General features: G+C 39.8%; 1 protein-coding gene across 1 annotated transcript, besides 3 other annotated features; it reads right to left on the bottom strand.

Annotated features, from left to right (window-relative positions):
• Window positions 5,437-11,745, bottom strand: P2RY1 (purinergic receptor P2Y1). Its single transcript, NM_002563.5, has one exon. It carries the CDS (start codon window positions 11,091-11,093, stop codon window positions 9,972-9,974), a length of 1,122 nt encoding a protein of 373 aa, NP_002554.1. The 5' UTR covers window positions 11,094-11,745; the 3' UTR covers window positions 5,437-9,971.
• Window positions 10,782-11,076: a silencer, noted in NCBI's record as "tiled region #13992; HepG2 Repressive non-DNase unmatched - State 24:Quies, and K562 Repressive non-DNase unmatched - State 1:Tss". NCBI's record gives its function as "represses a minimal TATA promoter and a strong SV40 promoter by Sharpr-MPRA in HepG2 and K562 cells {active_cell/tissue: HepG2 | K562}" and the evidence as "EXISTENCE:reporter gene assay evidence [ECO:0000049][PMID:27701403]".
• Window positions 11,509-11,608: an enhancer, noted in NCBI's record as "active region_20712". NCBI's record gives its function as "activates an Ori minimal core promoter by ATAC-STARR-seq in GM12878 lymphoblastoid cells {active_cell/tissue: GM12878}" and the evidence as "EXISTENCE:reporter gene assay evidence [ECO:0000049][PMID:35858748]".
• Window positions 11,789-11,838: a silencer, noted in NCBI's record as "silent region_14827". NCBI's record gives its function as "represses an Ori minimal core promoter by ATAC-STARR-seq in GM12878 lymphoblastoid cells {active_cell/tissue: GM12878}" and the evidence as "EXISTENCE:reporter gene assay evidence [ECO:0000049][PMID:35858748]".

Raw genomic sequence — 19,821 nt, 5'->3', positions numbered from 1 at the left:
CACCACATGGAAGCTGCCAAGGCTTGGGCCTTGCACCCTCTGAAGCCATGGCCCAAGCTCTGCATTGGGCCCTTTCAGCCATGGCTGGAGTGGCTGGGACACAGGGTAACAAGTCCCTAGGTTGCACATGGCAGAGAGACCCTGGGCCCGGCCCATGAAACCACTTTTTCCTCCTAGGCCTCTGAGCCTGTGATGGGAGGGGCTGCTGTGAAGACCTCTGACATGCCCTGGAGACATTTTCCCCATTGTCTTGGGGATTAACATTTGGCTAATTGTTTCTTATGCAAATTGCTACAGCTGGCTTGCATTTCTCCTCAGAAAATGGGATTTTCTTTTCTATTGCATTGTGAGGTTGCAAATTCTCCAAACTTATATGCCCTGCTTCCCTTATAAAACTGAATGCCGTTAACAGCACAAAATAGCCTCTTGAATGCTTTGCTGCTTAGACATTTCTTCTGCCAGATACCCTAAATCATCTCTCTCAAGTTCAAAATTCCACAGATCTCTAGAGCAGGGGTAAAATGCCACCAGTCTCTTTGCTAAAACTTAACAAGAGTCACCTTTGCTCCAGTTCCCAACAAGTTTCTCATCTCCCTGTGAGACCCACCTCAACCTGGAGTTCGTTGTCCATATCATTATCAACATTTTGATCAAAGCCATTCAACAAGTCTCTAGGGAGTTCCAAACTTTCTCACATTTTCCTGTCTTCTTCTGAGTCCTCCAAACTGTTCCAACCTCTGCCTGTTACCCAGTTCCAAAGTCGCTTCCACATTTTCAGGTATCTTTTCAGCAATATCTCACTCTACTGGTACAAATTTACTCTATTAGTCTGTTTGCACACCGCTGATAAAGACATACCAGAGACTGGGCAATTTACAAAAAAAAAAAAGAGGATTATTGGACTTACAGTACCATGTGGCTGGGGAGACCTCACAATCATGGCAGAAGGTGAGAGCCACAGCTCACATGGTGGCAGACAAGAGAGCTTGTACAGGAGAACTCCCATTTTTAAAACCATCAGATCTTGTGAGACTTATTCAATATCAGGAGAACAACATAGGAAACACTCACCCCCATGATTCAATTACCTTTCACCAGGTCTCTCCCACAACATGTGGAAATTCAAGATGAGATTTGGGTGGGGACACAGCCAAACCATATCAGACTACTAGAGAGGAGAGGAAGGGAAGGGGGCATGGGTTGAAAAACTACCTATTGGGTACCATGCTTACTACCTAGGTGAAGGGATCCATACCCCAAATCTCAGCATCACACAATATTCCCATGTAACAAATCTGCACATGTATGCTCTGTATCTAAAATAAAAGTCAAAATTAAAATATATTCCCCTCACTCCTTCTTTCAATAGACACCATGTTTGCTATTTTGCTATTCTTGCACACCAGAAAAGGAACATTCTTCCAACTCCCCACTGTTTCTTGACATTCGTCTTCCACTGCCATGTAAATCTTTTTTTTTTTTTGACACTAATGCCAACTAGTTCTTGCTAGCTTCCCCCTTACTCAGTGCTCTCATTCACCAAACTTCAAATTAATTTCCTCTACAAAACCAGTCTTTCTGCCACTCCGTGATCCAAACAATGTCTCAGCCTCACAATTACAGCTCTCCTCTACTCTGATGGCCTTTGCCACCACTTAACTTCAATACCCACAGCTACCCTTTTCCTCGTCTACCCCTTCTCCTTTGTCCTTTTGACATCATCATATACACCAATTTTCAAGTGGAGCTTTTTTGCTTTGAGCAATTCCTCTTTATCCCTTTTTCTATTTCTAATCTCTCTGCCTCTAGCGACTAACCTATAATCCTCCTACTAAAACACTTCTTCAGTGATCAGTAACAATTACTATTTTTATTAAATATGCCCTCCAAAACACCAATGCTTTCTAATGTATAAATCCAGCAGACTCTTTTTTGTCCTCTTTGTAACAGGTGACACAGAATTACCTCTTCCTAAATTCTCTTCTGAGACTGATTTCCTCAGTCTCAGTCCTGGATCATCTACGACAATCCCATCCTGTCTGTCCATCGCATCCTTGTTGGTGGTGTTGCTTATAGCACACTGCTCCCTCCTCCCTTGCTGCCCCTTTTTTCTTCTCTGTCTACATGGACTCCCCACATAATTGCTTCTATTTCCTTGGTTAATAGCTATTGTTTGCCTGTGGATGATTTTCAAACTTTAATCTCATGCTACAACTCTGCCCTGAATGCTGGAATGTCATTTGCAATGACTTACTGCACTTTTCCAATTGGATATCTTTTAAGTGTCTCTCTCTCTACCCTAGCACACATTGCAGCCCTCTTTACCACCATACTCCTTCCATACTCTCAGGTGGGAGATATTATTAAAACATCATTTGCATGCAAAGAAGAATGGTAGTGACTAGTTTTAAAAGAAAGTAAACAAAATGTGGAAATTTTAATCCATGTGCTGCTAAACTGTTCCGGGCAGGCAGAGTATAGGGTAGATGCTTATTATCAAGGCCAGTATCTCCTGGGATAGGCAATTCTTTCAGCTGCTCTATCTTACTGGAATTTCTCTTCAAGAATATCACCTTTTTATTCTAATTGTAAGTTATGATCCATAATTATATCCTCCTTGAACAAACAGATGTTATTGGGACTGAGATATAGTCATTGTATACTCATAAATTGGCAATCTAGTTGGTAAATGATTCTCTTGTCAGTTTGCTTGGTATGAGTCAGTCCTCTGGAGTTGGTGAACTGTAGGTGAACAGCTAAGATCAAGTTTCTGAATCTGCAAAAGTGAAGACCAGACTCTGGACTGCAGTAACTGAAAATAAACCATGAACTAGAGAGGTAAGGCCCAGATGAAGAGGTCAGAAGACCTTCTTGTAATATATTTTTAATTACACATACTTTGTCTTCTGTGTCTTTGTCCCATAGAGTGCATATCACAGTGCAAAGCATCAAAAAGTTGAATACTTGCCTGTTATTCGGACCTCAGACATTCAATGGAGTATCCAAAAGAACAATATTAAATGCACTCAATCTCTCAATCCCACAAAGCCTCCATGGTGTGGAAGAAGACAATAGAAATTATAGAACAACAATAAGAATAACAATAAAATAGCTAATGGAGTGGCAAAATCCTTAGCAGCCTCAAGAATGGCATACTTTGTATGCTTTGCCTATTCTTCCAATATCCTATGAACTGCATCTTATAATGCCCACTTTATGGTTGAGGAACACACAACAAACAAGGTTTAAATAACTTGCCCAGGGTACACAAGTAGTAAGTGGCAGAGGTGGGCTCAAGGCTAAGGTTTTTTTGACTGCAAAGCTGATGCTGTCAAACAGTGAAGGTTTGCTCTTTTGCTGTTAACTCTTCAAACCAGAGGAAACAGTACGAAGGTTAAGCTATCAAAGTTTACATAAAGCTGGGGTTCAATTATATTAACTACAAATAGTCATTCTTAGATGTAGGCTAAAAGGATGCTTTAATTTCTTTGGGACTTCAGAAAGGGATATTCAGAAGAAAATAACATTAAAAGAAAAAAGAATAAGTGCAAGTAACATAATTATCTCTGCATTTATGTTAAAATAATTTTGAAAAACAACCTCTTATCCTCTATTCCTTTAACTCTATGCCACTTTTTTACTGAGTAGCAGTGAATTTTCAAACTTTTCTGATGATGTCAACAATAGAAAATGAAATGTCCACTGCGACCCATGCCACGAATACAGGTAAATGTATGTATATGCATTGTGTTGTGTTAGTATGTGTGTCTGAAATTAAAACCACAATTACTTACTGAGTTATGGCCTCTGATCTATTCTATTTCGTTAGTGTCAATCATAACCCATCATATTTATTCCATGACACTTTCATGAGTCAAGACCTACAGTTTGAAAGGTCTTGGGATACGAGAGGAATGTTTTAGAAATGAGAACGCCACATTCTTTACTAGCTCCACTTTTGAATGTGAATATTTTAGTCTCACCTATAAACCAAGGTGATGGATGTGGATCATTTCCAAGGTCTCTATCTTTTTTAGTCTGTCTTCTTCATGAATTTTCCAACTTTGCACAGTTGTGATTTCTCCCTATCAGGTAATCAGGAAAGACAGTGCATTTTTCCCCCTCTTTGAAGTACCAACAGCCTCCACTTGCCTCCCATCCCCTGTCCCCTACCCACTTCCATTCCCAAAGAGTTGCAGTTCTGTCAGCTGCTCAGCCCAGGGGCCTGACTCCATCCACAGCTGCTGTTAGAACTGTCAGTCCCAGCAGCCATGCTGACTGGGGATGTCAGTCCCCAGGGTCCAGCCCAAGGCAATATAACCTTGCAGGATTAACCAAGTATGCACAGTGTTAACATTAACATGGATTTCTAGTGACATCTGCTTTGTCTGTAATGCCCCATCCTATCAGACTTCTAAGCCATAATAGATCTACTTTGAATTTAGGACAAGCTTTTTGTATTTGATCTGACCATATTTTGGGGAAAAATTCTAAAATCTCCTGAAGAAAGAAAATAAACTTTTCAGATCATTAAAATAGGAGAGGGAATCAAAATGGATATTAACTTGTAGAGAGAAAAGGGTCTCTGACTTTAATCCCTCAGTGATTTCAAAAATCAAAAGGTGCTCAAAGCTTTAGGGTAAATTATTAAGTCAGAAAGATAATTATCTCCTATATAATTTCTATGTATGTACTAAGACACATACACACACACATACATACATATATGCCCACAGAAAACTCTACTCAAGCTGATGTTAATAAATGAGGATTCCCAAAAGGCAAAGTCTGCATAGTACATCTAATTAAGGAGTTAATACTGACTGACACACGTCTTAAAGGCTGCAAGAAATCTGTATTTTCTACCCACAGGTTTCCCTTATAGAGCACCTATCTCAGCACACAACCAGAAAACCCAAACACAGGACCATTGTGCACTTACCTTCTCAACTGAGGTAAAAAAAAAGGTAATGCTTTAAGCATGCTCCCATTTCATTGTACACCATTTTCACTGTGGCACAATACATTTTTTAACAAACCTGGAAAAAGCAGGTGATGTATGCTAATAAATAGAATCCACAAAGAATTATTAGCGTGGTTACCCTGATTAAAAATTAGATGAGAAAAAATTACAGCCAACATTTTAAACACAGAACACCAGTATGAGAAGCACACATTAAGGTAGCATGAAGTATTTTACAATAAAAAATTAGCTCACATTCCTATTGGCAATTGAATATCAAATATTGATAATTTTACCTATCTTGCACCAGGATTCTACCTTTAACACCGTAGTTTTTAGAGCCCAGTCTTCACCTTAAAAAACAACTGAATTAGTTCAATGTGTTTTACAGTACTTCTCAGTCTGTACATTATTTGTTAAAGTTTGGCAAAACTTGTGAGTATTAACACTGTAATAACATAGAAGCCATCAAACCATGTTTCATAGTTTTATTGAGTCTTTTTCAGTTTTAACTGTCCATGGTAAGTACAGTTCTAGTGACCACAATTATGAAGCTCTGCTCGTACTAAAAATAGCAGATACAAAGTTGGCTGCCATGCCTTACACACACTAAGACACACACACACACACACACACACACACACACACAAGGTTTTGCATACTCTTACATGCAAACAGTACTATGCTATTATAGGAAATGTACTTTCCTTTTATTAAAAATACAATTACACACAATTAGTCTGGGTTTTGTTAAGCTACCACTGATTTAGATAAACCTGAGAAAGCTCAAAATATCAAGTAACACTGTTTCCATACTGCTCATTCAATGGCACTATCACTCAAAAAGAAATCTAGTTCAATCATCTATATTAAAATCACAGATAATATAAAAATAAACATTTTTTGCAATAGCACTAAAACATACTATAATTCAAATTCACAAATTTTGATATGTAACATATATTCACCTTCATATTAATTTGTGATTATGTGTATAATACAATGTACAACAGAATAAAAAACTCTAACAGAATTCAGCAGCCAAATAATATACAATTATCACTATGAAACTTGGAATTTAAGTTATCAACTAAACAAAAAAAAACAGATTAAAATCAATAGCAGTGTTGAACTCGCTGGTAGTGTGTTACTTTAAAATTCCATCTCAAAACAGTTAAGATTATGCTATCTCACCTTAAGAAGAAGCAACACAAAAAATTAAGTAGAACTAAGCAGCAGTAACCGATTATACCAGCTGCCTTTTTCTCTCCCCATCTCCTTAAAGATTTTCCTTACATTGTAACGTTGTTTATATAATGCCCATCCCACTTGACTGCTAAAACATGACAGATCAACTTTAAATGTAGGACAAGACTTTTGCATTTGGAAAGGGAAGCTTTGATCATATTTAGTGACAATACTCTAAACCTCCTGAAAAGACAACAAAAACTTTTATTTAATATATAAAATGTAGACAATACAGACCCCATTTGGCTAAGATATTTTATATTCACTATCGATCTTATGATAGTCTGACACCAAATTGTGTCTATATAGAAAAAAACTTAAATAAAAAGGCAAACATGCAAAAGCACTACTAGGGAAAATTAATCACTTGTATCATGAAACATTTTCATATTTTAGACCAAAAAATGTGAAGACTTAAATATTCCAAGACACTGATATTTGAAAAGCACTGTAATATACAACTCTTATTTATGTATGCATTATATATTTTGTAAAATACACCAGTTTGACACATTAATATCATACATTGTAATAAATATAATTTACATTAGTATGTTGGATCTTTCATGAAAGTTTTTCAGTCTGTACAACTGAAGGACTGTGAGCTTCTTCAATAAATACTTTTACAATAGCTACAACCTGACCAGCAAAGTTTAAGCTTCAATAGATACTAACTAGTATTACATCTTTAAACATTGTCACTAGCCAAATTCCAGCTGCTATAAGCACTGACATCTATAGTATCCAAAGACAGTTTAGTGTCTTGTCTGAGTAGATTGAGACAATTTACAGGTGACAGGTCCACATCATAATCTGTGAAACTTCCAAGATTTTTTTAGCCAAGGAGTGGAATGAAGTCCTGGAAAATACAGTAGCAGATTTCACAGGCTCCTGGCTGTTTAGTTTTCATGCTTTACCATATCCCCCAAGGCCCCAACAATGGATGTCATCCAACTTTTAAATCCATGTGTGTTCTTGAAAGGGTCAACAGTCACATAGCTGGCTGAGCGGCAACATCATGGTTTTAACTCTGAATTCCAACTTGCATGCTGTATTTCTTCTTAGTTTGTCTTTTTGTCATTTCAATGTAAACACAAATTGATGTTCAAAGAGTCAAAGATGCTGATTTGTAAGCAATAAAACACCTTGAATTTGCCATTAAAATATTTTTTGTGGTGTGAAATTTTGTTAGGTAATAAGTTCTATAATGTTAGCAGTTTTTTATCCAAATGCCAACACATTTCTGCCCTTACAATAAACATACTTCAATCATCATATGACCTGATCAGTTTTTCAGCCAATAGAGATCACTGCTTCACCCTGACCCTCTGTACGTTTTCACCATTGGCACACCTTCCCAGAGGCTTCTTTTGGCTTGGAAGGAGTTGGCAAGATCATTCTTGTTACTATGTGGCATGCATTCACATGTCATCAGTGTCCATATGTGATGTATGAAGCTAAAGAAGAAACACTTTGGAAAAAACATGCCAAGTAGTAAACAAGCATTTCTAGTTACTGTTCACCTCCTCACTGGATCCACACTCACAAAATTCTCTGGACGCTGAAACAATGTACTTAACACATACTCTAAATTAAGCTGAGCATCCTGAGACCTAAAAGAAAGAAAACTAAATGGTGAAGAAATATTGTAAAAATGTGTATCATTAGGCTACAAGTTCAAGTCTGGTACAAGTCCTGTAATTTCCATCTTGGTCAGTTTAATGATATTGATCTTGTTTAACAAGGTCAATAAAGTAATGACATATTTTAGATTTTGTCTTGTAGGAATCTAAAACGGATGTTATTTGAGCCTGATGAAGTGAGAACTTTGCTAACCCTCTCTTTCCTCAAAATAAGGAGGTGTAGTAGGTTTCTTCTTGATTTGGTTTCTATAATCCTATGCATTAAAACTGAACATGTAAAAAGAATCACTGCTTTGGAAGGTTAAATACAGCTTTTCTTCATTGATCTTAGTGGCCAGAGATTGGGTAAAGTGAAGCTACTCTGAAGGTCTCACAAATCCTCAATCTACATAGGCATTGCAAGAACTGAAATCAAGACCTGAAAATTTCCTGTCATTATGGTCCACGGGGCACTAAGGTTCTTTCTTGCCTTAACATACAGCCCCATGTTGCTCTACTTGTAAAGTGCTTTCAAACAAGTTATGCCACCATCAGTTGCAAACTCTGATGTTGACTTTATGAGGGATAGCTTCCAAAACTAAAAATTCCTTTGACACTGGATTTGTTTGGGATTGTCAATTGCATTATCTCACCTTGTTATTCTCATTATATAGAATTTGACCATTTCAAGGACTAGACATGCAGCAATTCAATATTCATTAAAATTATTAACACTGTTGAAGCATTTTACAAATTTTTCATTAACACCTGGCAGAGAACAAATATAATAGAAAACACTGACCAATAGTCTTCTATTAGTAGTTTGAGTAGTACTTTACTTTTCAGTGCTATGGCATCTAGGTACTTTAATTCTCTATATTTCCCTCCATATATATGTTTTTTCTTTAAATATTGAGATGTAAGGTTTATTCAAAGATTATAGCTTCCCATTCTATCAATGCAACCTATACAAATTCTATTTCTTCTTTTCATATCGCATTTTGTGTTTTCAAACACTTGGAGGAAGCAAGAGTCTTCTCCACCATGACTTTAATTTAAACTAAAGCCCTCATTCTAAAATGTCTTCTGCCCACCCCAGTTGCTTCATACATTTGAGAGTATACTTGGAGGCTATGCCTTGTGGATGACTGTCAACCTCTCCTTTTCTGAAATACTGTCCTCCTGTCCAATATCCTTCAACTTACTAACAGTTATTTGACTTTACTCAATCTTTGGTCTGTAATTTATTTGCAATTCTTAAAATTGTTTTTACAGATGTGAGTGAACACTTGTCCTGGAACACAAACAAAGTCCTAAGGCATTGCACAGCAGTGGGGCAAGTAAATGCTCTTTATCACAAGATGTCTAAGAGAGCTCATGGTGTTTACAAGGAAAATACATGCACTTTAATTATTTTGAATGCATTTTACCAGTACGATAATATATGCAGGCTTTCCCCATCAAACATTTAGCACCCAATATATAATGAGACCTTTTCCAGAAATAACTGGAAAACAATCACTTTTCAGGCTTTTAAATTCATTAGCTTTACTTGTCTATTCAATGCCCTAAAGAAACTCAGTCAACTATCATCTATGCTTATAAGACACTGAAAAAAACACCCCGCTCAGAGATCCATTGATCTGATGCCGGATGAACTGATGAGTTTAGTGTTTTGTTATATACCATGCTAGATATTTCTGAGAATATAGATTTTTTATTCCTACTGTGGATTTTAAAAAAACAATAAAGGCTAGATAAACCACAAACTCAAGTTGCAGGGGGCTAGTTTTCTTAGAGAAATTACTAATATCAAAAACAGCCCCAGTACTCATGTGCACACACACTTTAAACAGAAAAGCCTGCACATTTTAAAGGCAAAAGAGAAAGTAAATGTTTAACTAGGTAGTATTGTTTTATTATACATACTTCTAGTCAGAAGGAAGAGAGACTGTGAAAGCAAACCCAAACAAGCTAAGTGTGGATGTGGGCATTTCTACTTCTATTATTTTTTTAACTCACTATTTTCTTGGTTTGATTTTTTTCTAAACTAGAAAGTTAAAGAGGGGAAAAGTACTTGATTCTGTTAAGCATCCTACCATATTACAACAGAGAGGTGTTTGGAGATTCTTGTGCCTTCACAGGCTTGTATCTCCATTCTGCTTGAACTCAGGTAAAATATTGAGGGTCATGTCTTCACTCTTGGATTGCAAATTTGCCTCACTTCTTCTAGAAGCTTTCCTTGTGGCTCGGGAGAGTCTCCTTCTGAAAGTATCTCCCGCCAAGAAATAGAGAATGGGGTCCACACAACTGTTGAGACTTGCTAGACCTCTTGTCACCTGATACGTGGCATAAACCCTGTCATTGAAAGCACACATTGCTGGGGTCTGAAAATCAAGCCGGGCCCTCAAGTTCATCGTTTTCATCACATGGAAAGGGATGTAAGACACAGCAAAAACAGTCAGTACAATGATTACCAGGTAAATCGATTTTCTCCTCAGAGGAGAGTTGTCCAGATCTTTGTAAATCAAAGCTCTCACAATTAATCCGTAACAGCCCAGAATCAGCACCAAGGGGACACAGAACATGGCCACGGTCGTGCACATGCTGTAGATGAAATAACTTCGCAGGTACTCGTCTGAGGTGGTGTCGTAACAGGTGATGGTTTTGTTTTTGCGGACCCCGGTACCTGAGTAGAAGAGGATGGGGGAGATCGCCACCACCACAATGAGCCACACCAGCACGCTGATACAGATCGCATTCTTCTTTTTGAGCCGGCCCAGGGACTTGAGGGGGTACACCACACCGCTGTACCGGTGGGCACTGATGCATGTCAGAAACAAGATGCTGCCATAGAGGTTCACATGAAAGATGAACCTCTGCAGTTTACACATGGCATCCCCGAAGATCCAGTCTGTTTTATTGAAGTAGTAGAAGATCAGGGCTGGCAGAGTCAGCACGTACAAGAAGTCGGCCAGAGCCAAATTGAACATGTACACGGAGATGCCGCTCCAGGGCTTCATGTGGAAGACGAACATCCAGATGGCCACGCTGTTGCCCAGGAAGCCGATGATGAATACCAAGATGTAGACAGCCGGCAGGTAGTAAAACTGGAAGCCCGTCTTGGTCAAGGCGCATTTGAACGACGAGGAGACGGCGGCAGTGGAGGCGACCGTGCTGTTCCCCCAGGACGAACCCGGACCGGCCAGGAAGGCAGCGTCCGTCCCGTTGGGGACAGCCGGCCACAGCACCTCGGTCATTCTCTCCTCCTCGACTTAGGCGGCGGCTCCGAGGGGTAGGAGGCGGCGAGAGGGCAGCGGCGGCCAGGGGCGCAGCAAGCATCGGAAAAGCCAGCGAGCGGAAGGGAGCAGGCGAACTGGATCCCCGCGGGAGGGGGCGCGCAGGGGCTCGCCCACGCCAGCTCTGGCCCCGCGTTCGCCGCGGGCCATGAAATCCGCCCCGGGCCGCCACCGAACTGGGCTATCGGGCAAGCCAGCAACTTCTCCGTCCGCTGGCAACGCCGAGCTTACACAACAGGGCGCGCAGGGAACCGCCGCGGATAACTTTCCGACTGCGCTTTCCCGAGGGGCCGCGGGTCCGCGCTGCAGAGCGCGCCAGAGGCGCAGCGAGGTCAAGGGAAACTCGCTCTGCAGGGCTCTAGCTTGGGGAGGCTGCTCCCCAGCCTCCTTGGCTCAAAGATCAACTTAATTGGGGGCATCTTCCTCCTCCCTACCTTAGAAACGTGCAGCTCAGTTTCGGGGCGTCTAACCGCTTCCTCCGCCCACCCTGAGCTCAGCTCCTGGCAGCCATCGGAGCGCGCGTGGCCGCAGACTCGTGCGCTTCTGCAGCGCGTCCCGTTCGGCGTCCGCGTAGTTCAGGAACCCCTTCCCCAGGCCCAGCTCTGTCCGGAGTGCCGGGGTTAGGCGGGAGAGCGGAGCTCCCTAGAGGGTGGGCGGAGTTTGGGCACCGGGGCGAGTCCGCACTCCGCGGGGAGGCGAGGGGCGTGCCTCCGCCGAGCTCGCCCAGCAGCCAGCCCGCGTCCTCCAGGGCGCAGTGGGAAGCAGGAGGCGTCTTCTGGGGAGCAGGTCTCCGCCGAGGCCGAGTGTGTTCAGCCTCTGCCGGCACGCTGCTACCGGAGTCGGCGGCGAGGGAGAGGGGTGCGCTCCAAGGTGGCTGCTGGCAGGCGATTGGCCCGCGAGCGCTCCTTCCCTCTTCCGCCAGCTATCTCGGCAAAGTGAAGTTGCTGACACACAGGAAACCCTTCCGACCGCTTAGAGCCTTCTGCCTACAACCCCAGAGCCGACCAGTCCGTAGCAGGAGCCTCTAGGGCCCTCGAGAACCACGCCAGGTGTTTTCAAGCTCCAAGCAGCCAGGAGTCCCTAGCTGGGAACGCCTGTCATTGCAGAGCGTCTAGCTTTGCCGGGACCGGATTTCTGGCACATGCAGGAACCTGCTATTCCAAGAGGGCGCGAGCCTCCAAAGGAATGAGGGTTGGGAGAGGAGTGGAGAACTCTGTTTCGCCCTTCTTACCTTTTTTTTTCTTTTTTTTAAATTCTAGTACTGTTTTTTCTTAATTACCCAAATGCTAATAAACCCACGTCATTAATAACATCAACGTGAGAATTTCCAAAATAGTCTTGTGAAGATATTACTAGTCCATATTGCACATTGCTTCAGCTCAAATTTGTCGTCATAGATACTTAACACCTATCAGACAAGACAAGCTCCCCAAATCCTCCTGTTCAGTACATTTAAAGATCAGAAGCTACAATGAAAAAAAAAAATTCGAAATTTATCCCTTTGAAAGTAATTTGAATGCCAAATGCAATACATTTATATTGATAGACGTAAAAGACGGTTATAATTCCAAAGTGACTAAGGTATGGTTTTGGTAGGGGGTGGCGGGGGGAGGGGGGTATTTCCAATTCTATTTCTTTAAGTTAAAGTGATTAGTTACAATTACCTCTAGTATCTTAAAAATACAGACTTGGGACTTCCTTAATTACTACATTTACTGACAAACTCGTTTTCTTGCCTTGAATGTAAATTTTAAGCAATGCACTTCAAAAATGTATTTGAGCAAGTTTAATTGGAAACTAAATGAAATATTAGCTGTTCAGGAACATATATAAATGGACCCGCACAAGAATGGAATCTAGCACTTCTTGACAAGTTACTAGTTAATGTATTTTTACATGACACATTAACAAAAGCTTTTCTCTTAGAGGAAAAAAAATCCAAAAAGAAAATATCTGTAAAATATATAACATCAAGATTTCTTTCTGGTCCCAGATGCTACATGATAGTGTTCCCTTAAAAAATAAAGGAAAACCACGAGCTCCTGGCTTTGATACCACAAAGGAAAATATCCCCCACAAGATCCAGATGGTTCTTTAGAGGAACACATATAGGAAGGAGCATATCTTAGCACATGGTATGAATACACTGGGTTTTGAATTGTAGTCAATTGAACAGCATAAAAATTAATAATAAAACAAGAGTAAATAATTCAAGTAAACAGTGTGAATGAGGTTGTCTTGAAAAGTCTTACTTTTTGTGTTTCCTTCCAATCTCCTGATTATATGAGTCTATGATTCTGAGCCTTAACATGAAACATTTGTGTATTGTTTGATTAGTATGGTCCTAGGTGGGATGATTGTCTATTAAGAGAGAAAAGGAAGCAAAGAAAACCATTAAGGGTTCCAGGGGTACTCAATAGGTCTTAAGTCCTCACTCCTTTGCATTTTTTATTTGCAACCTAGGCAATATCTGACTTCACTCAGAAGTTTGTTGCAAATGCATTAACTCATAATGTGAGTGTTTTGAAATGTACACTTAGTCCAGATACCATTAAGTACTTGCAGAAAACTGACACCTTACTAGGAATTGGGGGATAGTTGTTTTAAGTGCACCACAGACTTTTTAAAAAATGATGTTAAAAAATAAATTTTGGGCTGGGCGCTGTGGCTCACGCCTGTAATCCCAACACTTTAGGAGGCCGAGGTGGGCAGATCACGAGGTCAGGAGATGGAGACCATCCTGGCTAACACGGTGAAACCCCCTCTGTACTAAAAATACAAAAAATTAGCCGGGTGTGGTGGCGGGCACCTGTAGTCCCAGCTACTCGGGAGGCTGAGGCAGAAGAATGGTGTGAACACAGAAGGCGGAGCTTGCAGTGAGCTGAGATCGAGCCACTGCACTCCAGCCTGGGCGACAGAGTGAGACTCCGTCTCAAAATAAATAAATAAATAAATAAATAAATAAACAAACTTTGTAAGCATTGCTTTTGCATTCAACATATTTAACTACACAGTTATGTTTCAGTTATGCTTTAAATCAAAATTTTGCCTTGTGGGAATAAGTTACATATATTCAGTAATTACTATAACTTTCTATTTGTAAAACATTCAACTATTATTAATGAAGAAAAAATCTAAGAATCATTATTCACATTTGAACATCAATTATAGATGGCTTAAAGACATGATAAAAAATTCTTACATATTTAAGTGACATCCCTAAGCATTCCATGTTAATTTTTTTTTTTTTTTTTTTGAGACGGGGTCTCACTCTGTCGCCCAGGCTGGAGTGCAGTGGCGCAATCTCGGCTCACTGCAAGCTCCACATCCCGAGTTCATGCCATTCTCCTGCCTGGCGTGGGACTACAGGCGCCCGCCATCATGCCCGACTAATTTTTTTGTATTTTCAGTAGAGACGGGGTTTTCACAGTGTTAGTTAGCCAGGATGGTCTTGATCTCCTGACCTCATGATCCGCCCGCCTCAGCCTCCCAAAGTCCTGGGATTACAGGCATGCATGAGCCACCGCGCCCGGCCTGCCATTACTTTTAATGGCAGTCTTGGACTCATAAACAAAAAGGTTGCCCTTCTTATGCCCTTATATTTAAGTAGCAGTGTAAGAACCTGACTTCAAGAGATTTACAATTTAGTTGGAAATGCAAATAATATATATAGCTAACCATAATAGTAAATATAACAATAGCAATAAAAATAGGCCTTTGCTGTACACTCAAGTACTGTGTACATGTAAAAAGGATTATCTCTTTTCACCCTTAAAATATGCATGATGATATTTGGCCATTGTATTCCCATTTTATAAGTGATGAAACTAAGGTACAGGGAGGTTAAGTAATTCACCCATAGTCACACAGTAGATACTGGGATTTAAATGTAGGCTGTTTGTCACTGAAGTCTATGCATTCAGCCACTATCCCATGATGAAAAAAAGCAAATACGGGGCACTGAGAGAAACGTTAACTTTTAGTGGCCAGCACAGATTGCGTTTAGAAAGCGTTACTCCCAGAAGCCTTCCCTCAGGAGAGAAAATTCTAAGCCAGATATTGAAGTTATTGATAGTCAAAGAGTATTTCAGAAGCTTCTAAATATTCCACTTCTCTACATAGGCTTCTTAAAAACAGCCAGCGATTTACCTATAATCTGAGAGAGAAAATCACTGGGACATCAGATCTGTTGAGTTTTAGACTCATAAACAAAAAGGTTGCCCTTATTATGTTTACAAAGATTTTTATCACCATATTTAGAAAATCTCTATTTTCTTTTTCTTTAAGCCACAGAAAATCCAACAATCATTAAGAATGGGAAAATCATTGGAAAAATTCCAATTGAGGGCCACAGGCAGAAAAGGGAAAAAGAAACTTCTCATAAACATAAAATATGAAATCTCCCATCTGAGTAGAGACCAAAAAACCATCAGATTTGACTAAATAAATATCATACCACAAATGCTAAACCTAATTCTGGTAGCAATATGAAGGAAGTTGGGAGCTGATAGGTAAGACAGCTGTTAGGATTTACGGAGGAGAGACGATGAGACCCTGATTTATGAGATAAAGGTTCATCTCATATCCTTTAGAAGGATATCATTAGGATATCCTTCTAAATTGAACTTCTGAGATTCACTTTAGGAAAGGGAGGAGACCCTTTCCTTCCCCAAGAAGAAAATAAGAGAAAGAAATAGGAGAAGTGTAAGGAATTCCCAGCTGATGTCCACCAATGAAGTAGGAGAAGGAGAAGGCTAAGATGGAGCAGAATTGGAAAGAGAGTATACAGAGAAAAAATTAGGATTGTCCTGTGCCAAGGAGGGCCCAGCTGCTCCTATAAATTATACACTTGTCATGGATCCAATCAGTAGGCTTCCTGAAATTTATTTCATTAAGAATCACAGCAGGGGTATAGGACACAGAATATACCCAGCAGGATTGATCTGAAGTTGAGTGAGGAAAAAGGGAGAAGAGAGCAAGAGAGCAAGAAACAGGAGGCCAGCGGGGAGAGGGGAGAGGAAATAATAATAATAATAATAATAATAATAATAATAAAAAGCAGACAGTGAAATGAAGAAGAAGAGGAAGAAGTGGGAGAGGGAGGAGGAAGAGGGAAGTACAGGAGGAGAAATAGTGCCTGAACAGTATTTGGGGGACAGAGGAAGAGAAAGCAAGATACTTGCACAGGCATAGGAAGAAGGTTTTGGAAATATCACTGAGCATAGCTTTTCTATTATTTAGGTTTAAATCTGGGTGTGTTGGGAGGTGCCTGGAAGGTGGTGAGATGATGCAAGCTATGCAGTCATGTGGCCAATGTCCCTATTGAATCATATGTCATTGAGCTAAGTTCTCTATATGTGCCTTTTCACTTACAAGTACCTGTCAGATCCCAGGCCACCTAAACCTTCTTCCATCCTTAGAAAGTTTCTTGCTTCCAAAGTTAAGAATAAGTATTCAAGGGAACTCCTTTCTTATACTTCTTTTTAAAATATTTACTTCTTTTATCTCATCTACATGAAGCCCTAGTCCCTAGTCCTGAGCACTTTACAATACTTTCAAAAAGCATTTTTGTTAAAATACAGAGTAAAAAACTTTAGTCCATCCTGTCTTGTAGAACTTTCTTTAATCATCCTTTTCTGATAAAAATTTCCTTTGCTGTCTTTGTCTTTGACATCTCTGTTTTATTAAAGGTGTGTCTTAGAACATTTACTGATAACAGACTAGAAATCCTGTATTACATGCCAGCTGTTCTACAATTTCCTTATATACTTAGCATTTTAAGAAAACAGAGAAATAAATATTTATAAAGCCTGGGGGTACACAAGTATCTTTAGAGCCAGTTGCTTAAATCTTTGGTCTTATACCATAATTATGAAACCATACGGAGTTCCTATGATACCACCAAGAATAAAAATATGACATTATTTGAGAGTTATTTGTCATTATTACATCTATCATATGTCAATTACTGATGTTTGGTACATCTGTATTTTGAATACATAAGCTTAATTCCAAGTAAGCAAATGAAAATCATGTGTAAGAATAAAGAAATACCCCTGTGTTTCTTATGTAAGTCACATCTTCCATCAGTTTACTCCTGGGATGTTGATCTCAATTATGTCCTGAATGTTTCACACTTTTCAAGATTAAAGTTAATTGCAGTTGGTGTCACCTTTCAGATTTTGGAATTTGTTTGTCCAAAGAGTTGGTGACAAATTTTCACCAGTAGCACTGAAAATATAAACTAACTTTAAAAAGATGAGCATTAATTGTATCCGTCTTTATAAATTATTCTGGTGCTACTTTTAGTTGAAATTCTTTTGGAAAAGCTGGCAAAATAAGTTAATTCCAGACAGTCTTCTTATAACAAGCCAAAATTTAGACATTCTTATGGAAAGATATCTGGGTAGCCAAAGACAGCACCAAATGAGTCAACCTAGTAAGAAGAAATAGTCCCATACATTGTTTATAAAATAAAATCAATATATAAACAGTTATTTGTAGTTAGAAAAGAACCAACATAGAGACTAGGTAATGCTTCAGGCAAACAATAATCAGTTACTTCTGGATATACTTATGTTTTCGATGATAGAGTTTAGCAGAACCTCAGTATCTCAAATTAGTTTTGTTTTTCTTCATTTTTCAGCCTTAGTTCTAGACAGCTGATACCGCAGCTAAATATTTATCTTACAGATCCTCATAGTGATAATAACTACCTAAGTAAAATACTAATTTCCTCACTGGAAACATCTACTTTGAGTCTCACTCAAGTGAACGCACTTGAATGTGCATTCAGATCACCCAGGGGATTTTCCTAAAACACAGTTTTAAGTATGAGATGGGGCCAAAGCGTTTGCATTTCTAACAAGTTCCCTTTGACATCCAAGCTCCTCATCCAGCCACTACATTCTGAGTAGCAAGGTTTTATGTGATCCTGTCTGACATTGCTTTGTATGCCAATTTAAAAATGCTATAGCTGCTTCTGTCCAGGACTAACATGCCTGAAGGGTTTAGGAAACTTGAATTGTGACATACATGTGCCAGGCACTGTTTAGAGTGCTTTTTATGGATTAGTTCATGGCACATGGTTAAACCCACAGGCTTGGAGAAGAGACAGAACTGGGTTCAAAGGTCAGCTAGGGCCACTTACAAGCTGTATAACTAAGATACATTGCCAAACTTGTCTTGCGTTAATGTTTCTATCAAATAATCCTTATATGACAATATAGCTGTGAGAATGTGTTCTTGTATGTAAAGTGTTTAGGACTGTGCCTAGCAAATAGTAAGTGCAAAATAAATGGTAGCTATAATTATTATGGTTATCATCATTATTATTTATAATAGACTCGTTGTTTTTACATTAACGGGTGTATCTTGATAAGGAGGCATTTGGATACAAGAAATCAAATCCATCAAAACCAGCATCAGCAAATATAGTGACTTTACTGGGTAAATAAAAGAGTACGAGCTCACAAGGAAGTGGGCACAGGAAATTGAAAATCAAGAATTTTGCCTACTCTCTCTACTTCACAGACAAAGGATCCCTGTTCTCTGCCTTTCTCTGTTCAACTACTCACTTTTCTTTCCTTACCTCCTTTTCTTTTTCCTCCCCTCTCTTTCCTTTTCTCTGTTGACCAGTTCTCTCTCTTTCTGTATGGACATGACTCAATGTGGATACTCAAAACCTGGCCTTATATTCAATGATAGATTCCTGAGGAAAATCTCAATAGTATGGTTCAGTTCACTTTGGCCTGGAGGAGAAGGGGATGGGCCACGTGATCAGAGCCTTCCTGCCTTCCTCCAGGGTCTGAGTGACAGACCTCAAGGGGGGAAAAAAAAAAAAAAAAAAAAGAATGGCAAGCTACTAGCTACTTAGGTGATATTGGAGCAGAGAGGATCAACTAATGAGATAATTACTATCTCTGGTGTAGAAAGCAATGTGACCATGGATGTGATTGGTGGGTTGGAGGGGAGAGGAGAAAAAGAAGAGTTTCAAGAAATGCAACTGTGGCAGGCAAATCTCCAGGCAAATTCCAGGAGAGGTGTACCTGTGACCAATGCAGGGACTGGTGGGAAAAACAGCGCTCCCAGAGAGATGAACACAGGCCCTGGGAGCCTGCTGCATTCTTCCGCCTTGCTCTAGTGGAGAGATTGGTGAAAATTAACTGCCAAGGAGTACACTCAAGTAGAGGTCTCCAGAGAAAATGAAGAAACTGGGCAGAATGAATGAACTAAGGAGGGAGAAGGCCAAAAAATACTATTGCATCATCCATTTTTCCTTAGCCGAAGGTGTAAGGAGAAAAGTATGATAGAAAGAAAGAAAATAACCTTGGCATTTCTGCTGGGAAAGTGGAAGGCTTTCTTCAATGAAAGATAAGTTATGAGGTTCTGCTTCCATCACAAAAACCAGCCCCAGGGCATGTAATTGCTACTGGGACTCTATTAATTCAGTTGAGAGTAACCAAAGGGACATATTTACAGTAATTCGAGTCCCTGGAAATGAGGAGTTTGACATGAGCTTCAGAACAGCAGAGAAATCGCATTTGGTTTACAGAATGAGTGCCTCAGGAGAAAGAGGAAAGCAAGGCTGGAAAAAGTTTGTGGTGATTGTGTTAACCAGTCCTGGGTAAAGGCTATGTTTATTCTCTTCAGGCATGAAATATTGGCTGTCAGAGACATTAGTAAGATA

This window comes from Homo sapiens, chromosome 3 (assembly GCF_000001405.40).
Source record: "Homo sapiens chromosome 3, GRCh38.p14 Primary Assembly".
NCBI classification, from domain to species: domain Eukaryota; kingdom Metazoa; phylum Chordata; class Mammalia; order Primates; family Hominidae; genus Homo; species Homo sapiens.
Note: the sequence above shows the minus strand (reverse complement) of the source record. Positions and strands in the feature narration are given on the sequence as shown.